Source organism: Homo sapiens, chromosome 8 (assembly GCF_000001405.40).
Source record: "Homo sapiens chromosome 8, GRCh38.p14 Primary Assembly".
NCBI classification, from domain to species: domain Eukaryota; kingdom Metazoa; phylum Chordata; class Mammalia; order Primates; family Hominidae; genus Homo; species Homo sapiens.
The window spans coordinates 6,624,558-6,642,911 of NC_000008.11; the positions used below are offsets into that span (position 1 = coordinate 6,624,558).

Here is an 18,354-nt window from a genome sequence, read left to right on the forward strand (position 1 = left end):
GTGAATTCCAATCTAGTAGCTGCAGCTATGTACGAATAAAGAAGGGTTTATTTTTCTGTCCGTACATACTTCTGGCTTTTCTCACCCTCTGCTAAACATTATCCTTTAATAGACAAGTAGATTTTTTTGTATTTTTCTCTTTGTGAATTGAATTCCAATCTGGTAGCTGCCGCTATGTACAAATAAAGGAAGGTTTATTTTTCTGTCCATACATACACACGTAAACCTACAGAACACACAGTCCAGGGCATTGCGTTTCCTGCCTCATCCAGGTCCAGGCTATTTGCTTATTCTCTAACCAGAAACAAATCATATACTTTTTTTTTTTTTTTTCTGAGATGGAGTCTCGCTGTGTCACCAGGCTGGAGTGTGCAGTGATGAGATCTCAGCTCACTGCAACCTTCACCTCCTGGGTTCAAGTGATTCTTCTGCCTCAGCCTTCCCAGTAGCTGGAATTACAGGCCCCGCCACCATGCCCAGGTAATTTTTGTATTTTTAGTAGAGATGAGGTTTCACCATGTTGGCCAGGCTGGTCTCAAACCCCCAACCTCAAGTGATCCTCCTGCCTCGGCCTCCCAAAGTGCTGGGATTACAGGCGTGAGCCACCGTGCCTGGCCGAAATCACCTATTTTCTGTGGAATGCATTTACTTCATGTATAAAACAGAGTCATAGCCTCCACCTTGCTTACCCCACATGCTGGTTAAAGGAGGAAACACAGAGAGCGCAAATGCCCTGTGGCAGGCGTAGGCTTCTTAAGTGTGGCAGATTGACGGTATCCATGGATGTGTCCTCATCATCCCTGCCCCTTCGACAAAGCACATTGTGTCTTTTGGAGACTTTTTTTCCTCCCGTTCATTTCCATTATAACAAATGCTTCTCTGGACAATGTTTCATTCTCAAAATATCGCAATATTGAAAAACTAGGAATATATCAAACCATTTTAAAGCACCAAATCGAAAAAGAAGTTATTTTGTTTAAATAAATTAAATTATGAAAAGACAATACTCAAAAAAAAATCAATTAAATTTATTCAAACTGGAATATCAACTGCTTTGTAAGGTAGGGTCCCTGAGCGTCTTAGAGTAATTTGAGCCGGGCGTGGTGGCCCATGCCTGTTGTCTTAGCTACGTGGGAGCTTGGCTTGAGCCCATAAGTTCAAGGCTGCGGTGAGCAACGATCCCACCACTGTACTCCAGCCTAGGCAACAGAGCAAGACCCCATCTCTAAAAAGAAAAAAAAAAGAATCATTTTTCAGTGCCTTTATATTGTTTCTGTATCTTAACAGTCTTGTTTTGCAGATGTCGTAAACTCACAGGGGGTGGAGAACCAGGAGTTTTTTAGCCACTAGGAACCTCTCTGAGAAGTTTCTTTTCTTTTCCTTTCTTTATTATTATTAGTATTCTGTGGCCAGAGGAGGGAAAGGAAGGTGGGTACTGAAACGACAGCTCTTCCCCTGGGACTGCAGCATCCGAGCACCACAGTCCACCCGCCAGCCTTTGTTCCTGCACAGTCTGCCTCTCAAGACCAACAACTCCATATCTATGACGATAAAAATTGTTAGTGATTATTTTACTTGTAAGAATTTCTTTCGACCTCAGCTCTGAGGTGACCCTCAGCTCGCCCGCCACCCCAGCTGCCCCACCTTGCTGGCATAGAACAGGGAGTGGAGGTGTGAAGTCACTCAACAGGGCTCAGTATACAAAATGTAAGCCACGCCTCACTCACTTGCTCCCTGGAGAATTTCATCTGCGCCGCGTTGCCTAATAACGGGGTTATCGGAAAGGGCATGATTACGTTCCCTCTTCATTCCCTGGAGTCTTTTTTCCCTGAAACTGTATTGTACTTGGGCCAAGATTCTTGATGAATCATTCAACCAGAAGGAGAAATGGGGTTGTTGTTTGGTTTTTTTGTTTTGTTTTTTTTTTTTTTTTTGCGTTTTGAGAGAGCACACTTGTGGGTGGTTGAACATGGATAAAAATAAACGGGAAAACAAAAATCAAATTCCCGGCCCTAGGAAATAAAATGTTACCTTTACCTGATATTGATAATACATATTATATTTGAAAGCATTTGCTAATGGTTGCATTTTCCCCCCAACACTCCCATGACATATAATTCCCATTTTATAAGTCACGAAACGAAGACCCTGGGGTCTGAAGGAACTTGGCTGGGGTGAGGATCACAAGCCCTTGGGTGGAGCTCTGAGCCCTGGCGCGGTCCTCAAGGGTCTGCGACATTTGTGCTGTGGTCAGCTCTGTGCACTCTTCCCTCCCTGCTGCTGTTATCACGAAAGGCTGGCTTGGCCTTTCTCATAGGCGTATTTCCACTCTCAGGCGCCCTTTTATTGTCTGGGCTCCATTCAAGTGATAAGACATACATTTATGCTATTGTGGGAACATAATGTAATATTCTCAACAGCATTGCCAAAAAAAAAAAAAAGTTTAGCCTCCGCCTGATTTTCTTATAACTTATAAAGAAAATTTGGTTTGAACATGTCCCATGTCGATGTTTTCAGGAAAAAGATCCGATAGCATGCAGGCCTTCTCATGCTGGCCTGGCTCATTCATCGTTTCCCCTAATGACTGACTGACCAGAAAAATGCACGACGCTCCCATGGGGCCACTCGGGAGGCCTCAGGCCTTCGGGCTTCCTGATTCAGTAGATATGTGAGGCTTGATCAGTCACCGCAGTCCACATCTCCATTGCCTCGATAAGGAACCAGTCGCAGAGAGGGGAGGCCATCTGCAGAAGCTGTGGAGAGTGGCAGAGAGGAGAGTGAGGACGGGGACTGCCCCCTTCCAGCCCCTCTCCTCCAAGGACGGCCTCATTTTATCCCCACCCAGGTTTCCACACCCAGGAGCTCAGCAACCGCTCAGAAAATGTTTGTGGAATTCAAAGACACAATTCAGACAATATGAAGAATTATTTTTCCTTTGAGTTGTTCTTAAAACAGACGAAATCTACCAGCATATAAATGAATGAGAACTAAAACTGGTGGGATTTGGTAATGTCGACATCTGAGATGTTTAGGCTTTTAAATATATATCTCAGCCAGGTGCGGTGGCCCATGCCTATAATCCCAGCACTTTAGGAGGCCGAGGCGGGTGGGTCGTTTGAGCCCAGCAGCTCGAGTCCAGCCTGGGCAACATGGTAGAATCTCGTCTGTACAAAAAAGTACAATAATTAGCGGGCATGGTGGTGCAAGCCTATAGTTCCAGCTACATGAGAGGCTAAGGTGGGAGGATCACCTGAGCTCAGGGAGGTCAGTGCTGCAGTGAGCTGTGATCATGCCATTGCACTCCAGCCTGTGCGACAGAGTGAGAACCTGTCTAAAAATATATATGTGTTTATATATATATATTTATATAAACATTAGTGGGTTTTAAAAAAAATTAACTAACTGCTAGCTCCTAAAACAGTATTTTGCCATTAGCTTTGGAAAGGTTTGCTCAGAAAATGAATTTCTAAGCACTCCCTTCATTGCATTTATTGGTCAAACTAATGGTCCTGGATGGTTATCTTTGAAACTTCCTAACCTGTTGGGTCCCCGTCGTTAAACTTATGCCAACAGAACTAAACTCACTGGATGTGAATTGCATCAGAGATGTAAACATTTAAAAGCGTATTAAGGCTGGGCGCAGTGGCTCACTCCCGTCATCCCAGCACTTTGGGAGGCCGAAGCGGGCGGATCATGAGGTCAGGAGATCGAGACCATCCTGGCTAACACAGTGAAACCCCGTCTCTATTAAAAATACAGAAAAATTAGCCGGTCGTGGTGGCAGGTGCCTGTAGTCCCAGCTACTCAGGAGGCTGAGGCAGGAGAATGCATGAACCCGGGAGGCAGAGCTTGCAGTGAGCCGAGATCACGCCACTGCACTCCAGCCTGGGCAACAGAGTAAGACTCTGTCTCAAAAAAAAAAAAAAAAAAAAAAAAACATTAAAAGCAGACCAAAAAAATCCTAGAATACAGGAGTCAGCTGTCTATTCAATTCAGAATAAGAAATATTGTAGACAAGGCAACATTTTATGTGTATTAGAAATGTGGTGGTTGGTTTGAGAAGTGAAACCAGCCATGTATATGCTGCTCCAAGCATTTTGGTTGTGGCAGGAAACTTTGAAGACTATTTTGCTGTACAAATTCACAAAGCCCCCTGCAAACACTCCCGTGCTTGGGGTGAATGCCCAAGTGTGTCACAGCTGCCTTGCAGCTCTGAGGATCAGAAAGGTTAATGGACATAAAAGAAACTTCAAAGCTCAACCTCCTAATGGGAAGCTGCCCTTGGTTTTAGGCTGTCTTTGCTTACTGACCGACTTAATTCATGCTTTGGGTTATGACTGTAGGAGAGATTTTCCTGTGTCTTTGGAGTATGCTGAACTTGTGTTTCTTTTTGTTGTTGCATATTAGACAGTCAGTGTTGAAACTAAAGTGACCTAAAGTGACAGAGCTCATGTTATGGGCTGAATTTTGTCTCCCCAGAATTCATAGGTTGAAGCCTTCCCAGTCCTTAGAACATGATTGTATCTGGAGCTAGGGCCTTTAAAGACATAAATAAGGTAACATGAGGTCATAAGGGCAAGGCCCTAATCCAATATGACTGGTGTCCTTATACGAAGAGGAAGAGGCCAGGCGTGGTGGCTTACGCCTATAATCCCAGCACTTTGGGAGGCCAGGGCCGGCAGATCACTTGAGGTCAGGAGTTTGGGACCAGTGTGTCCAACATGGTGAAACCCCGTCTCTACTAAAAATGCAAAATTAGCTGGGCATGGTTGTGGGCACCTGCAATCCCAGCTACTTGGGAGGCTGAGGCAGGAGAATCCCTTGAACACAAGAGGCGGAGGCTGCAGTTAGTCGTGATCCCACCACTGCACTCCAACCTGTGCAACAGAGCAAAACCCCATCTCAAAAAAATAAAAATAAAATAAAGGAAGACAAAGAAACACCAAAGATATTTTTGCACAGAGAAGAGTCCAAGTGAGGACTCAGGGAGAAGGTGGCCATCTGCAACCCGAGCAGTCTCCCAGGAAGCCTCAGGAGAAACTAACCCCTGTGACACCTTGGTCTTGGACTTCCTGCCCTCCAGAACTGTGAAAAAATACATGTCTGCTGTTTAAGCCACCCACCCTGTGGCATTTTGTTATGGTAGCCTGAGCAAACTAGTTCAGCCCAAAATGAATTCTGATATCACCTGCAGAAATCTGCTTTTAGACAGCAGGAAACTGAGGGCCTCTGAGTTTCTAGGCCAGAGTCATGCAGTGAATTACTGAAAGACCCAGAACCCCAGTCCTGGCCCCTGATTTTCAGTTTAGAATCTTCCTTGGTAAGAAGCAGGATCTTAGGCTGGGCCCAGCAAGTGGAAAACTCTTTTTTGTTTACACAGCCACTGACTGTTGTGGTCTCAGACTGTACCACAGAACCTGGTGTTCCACAAACTTCCCCAGTTTGGAGCAAGAGAAAAAAGTAGTTGGATGAAATGATCTCATTTTATTTTTTAGTCAATTTTTCTTAAATGTTGGTGCTTGAAAACAAATGGATGGCAGTAAAGTAATCCTGAAGAACACAGGAGGAAAGAAATAAAAGAGGCAATACCAAATGTTAGCAAAATGGCAGCAAGGCAAATAAGAGGCTCAGCAATAGCAAAAAACTGACTTCTTTGGCTGGGAAAAACTTATAAATATTAAAAATCCTGACAATGTTGAAAAAGAAAGGCAGAGATAGGGTTCCAGGAGAAATACTAAGAATGAAATTGGAGCTGTCACTGCAGTTATCGTAAGGATATTTTAAAATCATAAGAGAGCATGATGAACAATTTAATACCAATAAATTTGAAAACAGGTAAGATGGATGATTTTTAGAAAAATGTTACCAAAATTGATTCAAGAAATAGAAAATCTAAACAAGCTCAAGCGTTAAAAAAATTAAATAGGTAAAATATGTACATCAACTGGGCACAGTGGCTCACGCCTGTAATCCCAACACTTTGGGAGGCTGAAGTGGACAGATCACTTGAGGTCAGGAACTAGAGACCAGCCTGACCAACACGGTGAAACCCTGTCTTTACTAAAAATACAAAATGAGCCAGGCATGATGGGGCATGCCTGTGATCCCAGCTACTTGGGAGGCTGAGGCAGGAGAATCGCTTGAACCTGGGAGGTGGAGGTTGCAGTGAGCCGAGACTGTGCCATTGCACTCCAGCCTGGGCAACTAGAGCAAAACTCTGTCCTAAAAAAAAAAAACAAAAAAAAAAAACAATTATATATCAACAAAAAAAAGAAAATTTTAAAAAGTAACAATTTGAAAAAGTCAAATAGGCAATCAAAAGTATTCCTTTCACCAGCCACTAAAAAGGCACCTGTACATGGGAATGGTAGCAAAATGACAGAAGAGGAAACTCTAACCTCTCATCCAACACAGAAACCGCTAAAATCAGGCAGAAGCTGTCTGCAGAGATGTTGCAGGTGCTCTAAAAGGTGCTCTAAACAACCACCAAATGCATACGGCAACCAGGCAAATGCCTGATAGAGGAAAGCCATCTTCAAGCCCGCAGGAAAGTTTTGTGGCACATGGTGGCAACCCAGTTCCCAGTTCCCAGTTCCCTTCCTCAAGCTGCAGGGAGCAGACCAGACATGATCTGTTCTAGTCTAGCTGATTCATACCTGAAGGATTGATCCTCATCTCCATCTCACATAACATGCAAGGTGGGCAAGAGAAAGAGGTGGGCACAGCTCATGAAAGCCACAGAGAGGCAATTAAGGTAAAAATAGATAAATTGCACTATATACAAATTAAAGACTTCAGTGCATCAAAGGATACAGTCAACAGAGTGAAAAGCAATCTATGGAGTAGGAGAAAATATTTGCAAATAACGGGTTAATCTTCACAATATATAAAGAACTCCTGCAACTCAACAACAAAAAAAAAACCCCAGTTTCAAACTGAGCAAAGAACTTGAATAAACATTTCTTCAAAAAAGATGATATAAATGTCCAATAGGCAAATGAAAAGATGCTTAACATTACTAATCATTAGGAAGATGCAAATCAAAACCACAATGAGATAGCACCTCAGCACCTCACACCCATTATGATTGCTACTATAAAAAAAAAAAAAACCCAGAAAATAACAAGTGTTAGTAAGGATGTGGAAAATTGGAACCTTGTGTCTGCCTCATGTAATGTTGGGAATGTAAGATATTGTAGCCACGATAGAAAACAGTGTGGCAGTTCATCAAAAAATGAAAAGTAGAATTACTGTATGATCCAACAATTCCTCTTCTGGGTATATGCCAAAAAAATTGAAAGCAGGATCTCAAAAGAATAATTGTACATCCACATTTATAGCAGCATTGTTCACAATAGCCAAAAGGCAGAAGCCCAAGTGTTCATCAGTGGATGCATAAGAAACAAAATGTGGTCTATCCATACAGTGGAATATTATTCACCCTTAAAAAGGAAGGAGATTCTGATACATGTAACACTGTGGATGAACTTTGAAAACATCATGTTAAGTGAAATAAGCCAGAAACCAAAGGACAAATATCATACGACTACACTTATAAGAGGAACTTAGAATAGACAAAGTCACAGAGACAAACTATAGTTGAATTACCAAGGGTGGAGTAGGCAGGAAGGGAGTGGAGAATTATTGTTTAATGGCTACAGAGACTCAGTTTTGGATAATGAGAACATTCTAGAAATTAATAGTAGTGATGGCTGCACAGCATTGCGAATGTACTTCATGCCACTGAAGTGGACACTTAAAAATAGCTAATATGGTAAATTTTATGTTATGTCTATCAAACTTTTAAAGGCACCCTCCACAGATAGTTTTAGTAGTAAGTTTTACCAAACATTATAAAGTTTTACAGGAAAAAAAAAGAAATCTATTCACCTCATTTTACAAGGCTACATTGATCTTGACCTAATACTGGTTTAAAAAACTCATTTGTAAACAAGTACATAAAAATCTGAGGCTGAGCGCAGTGACTCATGCCTGTAATCCCAACACTTTGGAAGGCCGAGGGGGGCGGATCACAAGGTCAGGAGATCGAGACCATCCTGGCTAACACAGTGAAACCCCATCTCTACTAAAAATACAAAAAATTAGCCGGCCGTGGTGGCACGTGCCTGTAGTCCCAGCTACTCGGGAGGCTGAGGCAGGAGAATCACTTAAACCTGGGAGAAAGAGGTTGCAGTGAGCCAAGAGTGCGCCATTGCACTCCAGCCTAGGCAACAGAGTGAGACTCTGTCTAAGAAGAAGAAAAGAAAAAAAAACTCAGAAATAAGATATTTCATCAAGTCAAATTTGGTAGTGTGTTTTTAAAACACACACACACATAACCAAGTGTGGTTTAACCTAAGAATGAAAGGATAAATGAATAGCATTAAGTCTTCTTTTTTCTAATCCATTAATTTTCTTAGTAGTGTTAAAAAGCAGTAGGGAAGATTCAATGCCGAGTAATGATTTAAAAAAAAAAAAAACTCTTCAGAAACCAGGAATAGATAACTTTCTTAACTATGGAGGTTATCTATAAAAAACGTACAACAAATATTGAATGGTGAAAACCTTAGTTTAAGGCTTAAATCATGTACAAGACACACATGAATGCTATTACTCTTCAACAGTGTTCTATGATTCCTAGTCAAGGGAATAAAATAAAAAAAAATTACAAGAATTATACAGGAAGGGACACATTTTGTTTGCATGTCATACAGTTGTCTACATAGAAACATCAAAGAGAGTCAATAAACTGTTACAACTCATTCAGCAAAATTCCTCTTTGTAAGATCCACTCACTGAAATCTTTAGCATTTGTATACCCAATGATAAACAATTATAAAATGTAACAGAAAACATAGTAAATAATAGTGGATTCAAGGCTAGCCATGTAATACAGGTTGAACATTCCTAATTTTAATCTGAAATGCTCCGATATCTTAAACTTTTTGAGTGCCAATCTGTCAACACAAGTGGAAAATTCCACACCTGACCTCATGTGACAGGGCATAGTCAAAGCACAGGTGCACGACACAGTTGATTTAGCGTCCCCAAGGGAAAAAAAAGACCCACCCAGCCCCCTTCAACTATAGTATAACTTTTCCATGCACACCCAAATTCCCCCACACAAGCACGCCCACAATGTGTAATAAAATGGCACGTGTGCAGGCTGGACGCACCCAACGCAGATTCCCCACGATACCTCACGTGGGGCCGAGAACTCCATGCATTACTCACTGTGGTTTTTTGCTTATTCTCTGCAGTGTCATGTAAAAATATTACTGAAAATGTCGAAAAGGCCTGCAGATCCCCCTATGTGTAACAGTGATCAGAAAAAGAGGAATAATTTATGTTTATCAATAGCACAAACAGTCAACTTGTTGGAGGAACTGAACAGCAGTATAAGTGTGAAGCGTCTTACAGAAGAGTATGGTGTTGGGATGACCACCATACATGACCTGAAGAAACAGAAGGATACGCTTTTGAAGTTCTATGCTGAATGTGATGAGCAGAAGTTAATGAAAAATAGAAAAACTCTACGTAAAGCTAAAAATGAAGATGTGAATAGTGTATTGAAAAACTAGATCTGAAGGCATCACACTGAACCCGTGCCACTCAGTGGTAGGCTGATCATGAAACAAGCGAAGATCTATCCTGATGAACTGAAAATTGAAGGGAACTGTGAATATTCAACAGGCTGGTTGCAGAAATTTAAGAAATGACATGGAATTCAAGTTTTAAAGCATCTGCAGATCACAAGGCAGCGTCGAAACTCATTGACGAGTTTGCCAAGATTATCGCTAATGAAAATCTGATGCCAGAACAAGTCTGTATTGCTGATGAGACATGACCATTTGGGTGCTACTGCCCCAGAAAGATGCTGACTACAGCTGACGGGACAGCCCCTACAGGAATTAAGGATGCCAAGGACAGAATGACTGTGCAGTGCTGTGCAAATGCAGCAGGCACGCATAAGTGTAAACCTGCTCTCATGGGCAAAAGCTTTTGTCCGTGCTGTTTTCAAAGAGTAAATTTCTTACCAGTCCATTATTATGCTAACAAAAAGGCATAGATCACCAGGGACATCTTTTCTGATCGGTTTTACAAACACTTCGTACAGGCCTCTTGTGCTCGCTGCAGAAAAGTTGGACCGGATGATGACAGCAAGATTTTCTTATGCCTTGACTACTGTTCTGCTCATCCTCCAGCTGAAATTCTCATCAAAGATAATATTGATGCTGTGTACTTTCCCCCAAACGTGACTTCATTAGTTGAGCCTGTAACCAGGGTATCTTTAGATCAATGAAAAGTAAATATAAAAACACTGTCTTGAATTGCACGCTCGCAGCAGTGAACGGAGGTGTAGGTGTAGAAGATTTTCAGGAGCTGAGCATGAAGGATGCCATACATGCTGTTGCCAACGCTTGCAACACAGTGACTAAAGACACAGATGTGCGTGCCTGGCGTGACCTCTGGCCTACGACTGTGTTCAGTGATGATGATGAACCAGGTGGTGGTTTAGAAGAATTCAGCTTGTCAAGTGAGAAGAAAAGGATGTCTGACCTCCAAAAAATATACCTTCAGAGTTCATCAGTCAGCGGGAAGAAGTACACATTAATGTCATTTTTAACATTGATAATGAGGCTCCGGTTGTTCATTTCATTGACTGTTGGGGAAATAGCCAGAATGGTTCTGAATCAAGGTGATCGTGATGATACCGACCATGAAGATGACGTTAACACTGCAGAAAAAGCACCCGTGGACAGCGTGGAGCTCAGGTGTGATGGGTTAACTGAGGCCCAGAGCAGCGTGCATTCACAACAGAACAAGCAATCATGTCAGCTTATAAAATCAAAGAAAGAATCCTAAGACAAAAAAGAAAGAAAAAAAATTAGCCGGGCATGGTGACACGTGACTATAGTCCCAGCTGTGTGGGAGGCTGAGGTAAGAGTCTTGCCTGAGCCCAGGAGTTAGAGGCTGCAGTGAGCCGTGATCATGCCACTGCACACCAGCCTGGGAAACAGCGAGGCCCTGTCTCAAAAAAACCCAAAAAACTAAGTAAATATTTTGTACATGAAACAAACTTTGTGTACACTGAACCAACAGAAAGGAGCTGTCGGTTCTAAGACCATTGTTAGTGGTGCAGATACCATTAAAAAGCCCCCCAGCAGAATGCCTCCTCGTCCCCAGAGGACCCACTTCCTGGGCCTGTAACTGCTTCTTATGTTCCTTCTCACCTAAAATGTAAAATGCCGTGTCCCGTAAGCTTTGAATCAAAGCACAGCATGGTTGGGAGAGCAGAGGCCTGCTGTTGTTTGTTGTTGCTGCTGTTGTTCAGCAGCTGATTGCGGTCTCTGCTGATGCCACTGGCTGCTTAGCTCCCCTGAGCACGTAAGTCTTCACTGTGTTAATGGCATGTCTTATTTTTTACTGTGAAGTACTTATGTGTGAATAAGTGTAAGGAAATGACTGCTTGGTAGTAGCATATAAATTCAGAGTCACGGGCAGGCACGGTGGCTCACGCCTGTAATCCCAGCACTTTGGGAGGCCAAGGCGGGCAGATCACTTGAGGCCAGGAGTTCAACACCAGCCTGGCCAACATGGCAAAACCCCATCTCTACTAAAAATTACAAAAATTAGCCGGGCGTGATGGCACATGCATGTAGTCCCAGCTACTTGGGAGGCTGAGGCAGGGGAATCGCTTGAGCCTGGGAGGTAGAGATTGCAGTGAGCCAAGATTTCACCACTGCACTCCAGCCTGTGTGACAGAGAGACTGTCTCAAAAAAAAAAAAAAAAAAGTCACAGTCAGGAATGAGGGTGATGCCACACAACCACTGATTGTCCACATGGGGGTGAGGGCTGAGATAGTGATACCTCTGCTTTCTGATGGTTCCATGTACACAGACTTTGTTTCATGCACAAAATTTGTTTGTTTATTTTTTGAAACAGAGTTTGGCTCTGTTGCCCAGGCTGGTGTACAGTGCTGCGATCATAGCTCATTGCAGCCTCTAACTCCTGGCCTCAAGCGATCTTCCCACCTCAGCCTCCGTTGTAGCTGGGACTACAGTCATGCTGTCGCACCTGGCAATCACACCAGTCTATGCACAGAACTATTTAAAATACTGTATAAAATTACCTCTAGGCTATGTGTATAAGATGCAGATGAAACATAAATGAATTTTGGTTTTAGACTCTGGTCCTATCTTCAAGATCTCTCATTGTCCATTCCAAAAATGCCACCCACCACCCCCCAAAAAAAATCTGGAATTCAAAACATTTCTGGTCTCCAGCATTTTGGATAAGGGAAACACCACCTGTAATATCCTTTTACACATTTCCTGGATGGGAAACAGAAGTTGGTGTGGTAGGAGTCACACATAAACGGCAGACTTTCTTGTCTGTGACACATTCTTAGGATGTCCTAGAGAAGTATCAGCGATGTGAATGTCTCCAGTCAAATATCAGAGCAGAAAGAATATGTTGAGAACTGCTGTATTATTAGACTGGGCTACTTTCTTCAAACAACACATGGTATCAGGTCATTCATTCATTTACCCAGTAGATATTTCCTACACACTCGTCATATGCCGAGCATATCCTAGGCACTGCAGGTACAGCAACTGACAGGAATATACAGCCTTTGCCCTTGTGGGACTTAACATTTAAGAGAGAAGACAGGCAGCAAACAATTTCTTTAAAAATCCTTCTGGTGGTAAATGCAATGAAGAAAACAGGGTGAGTATAGAGAGGAGGAGTGAGGTAGGCCCCTTGCAGGTGAGTGGCATTTGAGCTGAGGCCCAGATGATGAAGAGAAGGATGGACTCTTGTAGGTCTATTGGACTGGCCCTTCCAGGAATGGTAAGGGCTGAGAGGTCAGGAGAAGCGGTAAGTTTAGCGTGGCTGAAATGAAGGGAGAGAAGACAAAGCAATAGGAAATGAAGCTGGAGAAGCAGGCAGCTTCAGACAGGACCATTCCAGACCACTGACACCTTAACAGACAACAGCAAGAAGTTTGGGTTCTGTTCTAAGGATAAATGGAAGTCACAGAACGATTTTAAGTGGGAGGATTAGGCTGCGGTATATGTTTGTTTACTCTGTTTGTGTTTATTTTTGTTTTAATGGATACAGAGTCTCCCAATGTTGCCCAGGCTGGTTTTGAACTCCTGGGCTCAACGGATCCTCCTAACTCGGCCTCTCAAAGTGCTGACACATGTTTTTTTAATGGAAGCAGAGAAAGCAGTCTCGGACCTTTGCAGTGGTTCAGGTGATTAGTGATGGGGGTTAGGACCAGGGACGTATCGATGGAGGTGTTGTGAAGTTGTCATATTTTAAATATACATTTCAGAGCCAGGTGCACTCGCTGATACATTGGATGTGGCATATTAGAGAAAGAAGACTCGAAGGTGGCACCTAGTCTTGTGTTCTGAGCTTCCAGAATGAGGCATCTAGAAGCCAGGACCCGGGAGAAGCACGGAAGGAGCAGTGGTTTATTCAGTCTGCAGAAGCAGTGCCTACAGGACTGCTGTGTGAAAGAGGACACATGTGATATGAGCAGATGAAAATCACACAGCAGGCAGCTCTGGGCTCATTATGAGAAACGACTCTAGGAATATTTGTAACCTGCTGGGCTCTACTGCTAAGGGCTGCCTTAAGCCATGAAGCCGCAGAGGCTGGGTGACCACCGTCCCACAGTGAGGGAGCTGGGCAATTCCTTACCAGAGTGGAGATGTGGCTAGATCTCCTAGCCCTAACATGCTTACTTATTTTGATAAGCAAAGATGAAGCTCACATGGGTCCCGTGTGCTCTTGAACTTCTGTACATTGTACCATTAACCACACTTGGATGCTGGCAATCGCAGTTTTAGTTAAATAAAGTGACTTGCCCACCATACTATAAAAAATTAATTTTGGTAGCATGTTGATTCTGTATCCTAACCATAAGACCACACAGAGCCATGGCTAGTAAACTTTAGCTTGTGCGTAAATGCCTGCCAAGACCTGCTAAATACTGTTGCTTACATTTAAAAAAAAAAAAAAAAATTTTTTTTTTAATTTAAATTTCACGGAGCTGCTCAAGGGCAGTTCAGCTTCCTATTCATCTCTGTCTCCACCGGCCAGGACTGGCATTACTCTAACATCTGTCCTACGGCCACATTTTATGGGATGTTTGAGGATTATTCCTATGAAGTGACATTGGAATTTGGGGATGTGGCTATGTTCAGATGCCAAATAAACTTGGATAGAAATCATTTTTCCTGTGTGTGTTTACAGTTAGGAACGTGGGGCTGTGAGGGGCTCCCTGGACATGACCCTGGAGCTGTCGGCCCTTGTTCAGTGGTCAGATGCGCTTCAGACCTCCCAGAGTGCTGCCCGCACACTCAGTCACAGCCCCATGCGCACCTCAACGCCACTGCTCAGAAGTCCAGTGTAATTCCTCAGGCAGCATGTCCTAGAGCAGGCCATGAGAGGTGTAAGGTACAGACTTTGTTGTGAGGTTACATGTAGGCTTCTGTTCCATCTTGTCTCTGTTTAAAGATCGATACTTCTGGCAGCCTTTATCCCCACCACGATAAATACGTGGATGGAAGGATACATGCGTGGAAGGGTGGATGGGTGGATGGTTGGATGGATGGGTAGACGGGTGCATGGGTAGATGGGTAGATGGGTGGATGGAGTGATATTTGATTTCATAGTCAAAGAACTCAAACAGTAGACAAGTACACAGGGTCCTCCAGTCTTACAACCCTTCCTTAACTACAATAAAGATAGAAGTGTATCTTCTAGATTTCTTTTAAAAACATATTTATGAATGTAAACATATTATGGTCAGGTCCAGTGACTCACATGTATAATCTAACACTTTGGGAAGCCAAGGTGAGTGGACTGCTTGATGCCGGGAGTTTGAGACCAGCCTTGGCAACATAGAAAGACCGTGTCCCTACAAAAAAAATTTTAAAAGTAGCCTGGTGTCATGGCACATGCCTGTAGTCCTAGCTACTCAGGACGTCAAGGTGGGAGGATCACTCGAGGACAGGAATTCCAGGCTGCAGTAAGCCATGATCATACCACTGCACTCCAGTCTGGGCAATGGATCAAGATCCTGTCTCTTTAAAAAAAAAAAAAAACATATTTACATAGAAATAAATGTATATAAACACAGATATTGTTTAGGGATTTGTTTTTATATATATTGGAGAATGACATGCTTTTTCAGGAGCTTTTATTTAACCCTATGCCTAGAAGATCCTTCCAGCTTAACACATATACAGCTACTTCATTCTTTTTAACCATTGGGAGGTACTGTAATTAATTTATGTGCTTTCTGTTATTTTCATTGTTTTGCTATTGTATTTACTTATTTATTTTAGAAACAAGATGTCACTATGTTGCCCAGGCTGGCCTCAAACTCTTGGGCTCAAGCAGTCCTCCCACCTTAGCCTCCCAAGTAGGCGGGACTACAGGCATGAACCCTGCAATACGGCTGGCTTCTGCTATTTTAAACTCGTGTGTGTGTGTGTGTGTGTGTGTGTGTGTGTGTGTGTGCGCGCGCGTGTGTGTGTGTGTGCGTGTGTGTGTGTGTTTTCTAACTGAACAATCTGAATTCAATTTTAAGAGATTTTCTTGAGCTGGAATTATTCTAGTCCGAGCCCAGGCTCATGAAGATTTCTGTAAAATACATTCCAAGCAGTGAAATTACTGTGCCCTAGGATATGTGTACTTAAATTCTGATACACAAGGCTGCAGCAATTTACACTATTACTAACGGTACATAAAGTCCTATTTCCTATGTCCTATAAATTCCCATGTCCAGTACTGGACATAACCCATATTTTCAATATTGGGTGATCCGATTAGTTAAAAAAATAGATCTCATTAATTTCTAATTGCCTGATTACTAAATTATGAATGAGTCTGAATATCTTAGATAGGAGATTTATCATTCGTGAATTACCTGTCCTGATCCCTTAACTGTTTTGAAATTGGGTTATTTATATTTTTCACATGGTTTTACAGCAATGTTTACATAATATGGACATTAAACTTTTGTTGTGTTATAAAACTCTGTCTCTTTAGCTGTGCTTATGGTGTCTTAAGTATTACCAAGTTTTTAATTTTTAACTATTATTTTTTACAAAATTAAACACCTCTTTTCCTCCATGGCACCTACCCTTGTGGTTTTGCTTAGAAAGGCCTTCCTCACCCTCTGAGCTTTAAAAATAATCTCATATTCTCCTATTTATAGTTTTAAAAAATATTTAGACCTTTAATGCATGTGCATTTCACTTACTGTATAATGTGAGGGGACCATGTTGTTTTTAATAACTAATTTATTGACACTGACCTATATTGCCCCCTGTGAGTCATCTCTTACATTCCCACATGGTATGGGTGTGTTTCTGGTTATTCTCGTCCATTGATCTGTTTGTCTATTCTGTGCTGACCTCTATTTTACTGCTATAATTGTACAGACTGTTTTGATATCTGGTATGTCAAATTTTTTCTCATCATTTCTCTTTTTAAAAATCATCTTCCTATGCATTTTTTTCTTTCCTATAAACTTTAGAATAAACATGTCGTTTTCTTTTTGAAAAGTTTGAAATTTTTGGATTACATTGAATTTCTAGATGAATTTGGAAAGAGCATCATTTTTTCTGCATTTTTTTATGATTTTTCAAAACTGACACCTAGTCAGAAAACTAAGTGTAAAAATTGAATCCATAGAGTTTTTACAACCTGGAAGAAAATACAAATGTGGCTGAATGACTTTAAACCCTGAGTATCGGAAAAGGCTTCCACCTACCTATGACTCAAAAGCCAGATGCAATAAGACAAAGTGTTGATATAATTTGAATACATAAGAAATTGAAACTTATACATGGCAAAAGTTTGCATAAGAAAAGTCAAGCCAGGTGTGGTGGGTTATGTCTATAATCCCAGCATTTTGGAAGACTGAGGCACAGGAAGATTGCTTGAGCCCAGGAGTTCGAGATCAGCCTGGGCAACAAAGTGAGACATTGGCTCTACAAAAAATCAAAACATTAACTGGGTGTGGTGGTGCATACCTGTAGTCCCGGCTACCTGGGAAGCTGAGTCTGGAGGATCACCTGAGTCCAGGAGACTGAGGCTGCAGTGAGTCATGTTTGCACCAATGCAGTCTAACCTGCGTGACTGAGCAAGACCCTATCTCAAAAAAAGAAAAAATATGTAAATCATAATAATACCTGCTTCACTGTTGTGGAGAGAATTAAGTAGTATGCCTAGTACTAATAATATTGTTATAATTATATACAATGTTTTTAACTATATCATTTCTTATATATATAAGCTATCACAAATGTTAGTGTTCCTCCCTTCTGAAATTCATCTGAGGGTCCCTCACTGACCCAGGCCTCCTGGGTAGAAGCACATTTGTATTGAGAAGACAACAGTTAAATTCTGGGACACTATCTTGAGCTATAACTAAGATAAGTCATTTTTTTCTTCCATTTCTAAAAATATTTGTAGATTAAACCCATTTTTTTCTTTTTTGTACCATACCACCAGGATAGCTTTCCACCTTCCATCACTCATCTGTGTGACTTCTTAAGTTCCTTCAAATGTAACTCTGTAATTATAATTATATATTCACACAATCATTGTGATTCTTTAATTGCAATTGATTTAATCTACCTTATCATCCAATCGGTGCTGACAGTGGATTTCATTCCTTTTTTTTTCTAACAGTAGGAATAGAATGCAGTGCGCTTGCCAGGACTGAGGAAAGAGGGAGGGGTTGTTTCCGCCAGCTGCCAGGATCACCTGTGCTGACCCTTCAGCAGCACCTGCAGCGCTATCCTGGGCCAGGCGCAACTTGTGATTTTCATAAAATAGTCGAGTTTCAAACGGATGGGACTTTAGAGCTTCTTTAATTTGAGCTATGAAGAACAGAGTTTTAGAAAGTATGCTTATTCACTTGGAATTCCATAAAAAATACCTATGCTGGGTAGATAGGATAGCACGGCCTACCTCTCACCACTGGTGTCATAATTAAAACTCATATATGTATTTACTTATACTCTGCCTTATGCCAAGAGTACTGGAAGTGGTGAGCTAAGATTAGAAATTCTTGGCTCCTATGTCACAGACTGGCAAGCTTCCCACCCTGCCCACTGAGTGTCCTGACACAACGGGAACGTGCCCTGCATCTAATGGGACATGTGGCTACCAAGCACTTGAACTGGCCAGTGTGACTGAGAACTGAATGTTTCATTGTATTGAATTTCGTTTCACGTTAATTTAAAAAGGTATGTGTGCTCTATGGACGTGGGGGGGCCTATGGACAACACAGCTCTTGGCTATTTGTTTTTAAATATAGT

The 18,354-nt window shown here is 42.0% G+C and overlaps 1 protein-coding gene and 1 long non-coding RNA gene across 11 annotated transcripts in view; one reads left to right on the forward strand and one right to left on the reverse strand.

Moving 5' to 3' along the window:
* The window catches only part of MCPH1 (microcephalin 1), a 241,882-nt gene that overhangs the window by 217,931 nt on the left and 5,597 nt on the right, over nt 1–18,354 (forward strand). For 2 of the 10 annotated variants that reach the window (NM_001410917.1, XM_017013832.3), the window contains one exon: nt 1,400–2,041. The exons of 4 other annotated variants lie outside the window; for them this stretch is intronic. In NM_001410917.1, the coding sequence (NP_001397846.1) occupies nt 1,400–1,563 (164 nt within the window). In that variant the 3' untranslated portion in view covers nt 1,564–2,041. Of the gene's footprint in view, nt 1–338; nt 481–1,399; nt 2,042–13,343; nt 14,841–18,122; nt 18,246–18,354 lie in introns of those variants that run through there. 4 more of the 10 variants (XM_017013829.3, NM_001322042.2, XM_047422233.1 and 1 more) reach the window with 4 other exon arrangements.
* Nucleotides 1–18,354, reverse strand: part of MCPH1-AS1 (MCPH1 antisense RNA 1) — a 92,607-nt gene that overhangs the window by 8,955 nt on the left and 65,298 nt on the right. Inside the window, exon 2 of the long non-coding RNA NR_125386.1 lies at nt 2,594–2,753. This is a non-coding gene — a long non-coding RNA (MCPH1 antisense RNA 1). The remainder of the gene's footprint in view (nt 1–2,593; nt 2,754–18,354) is intronic.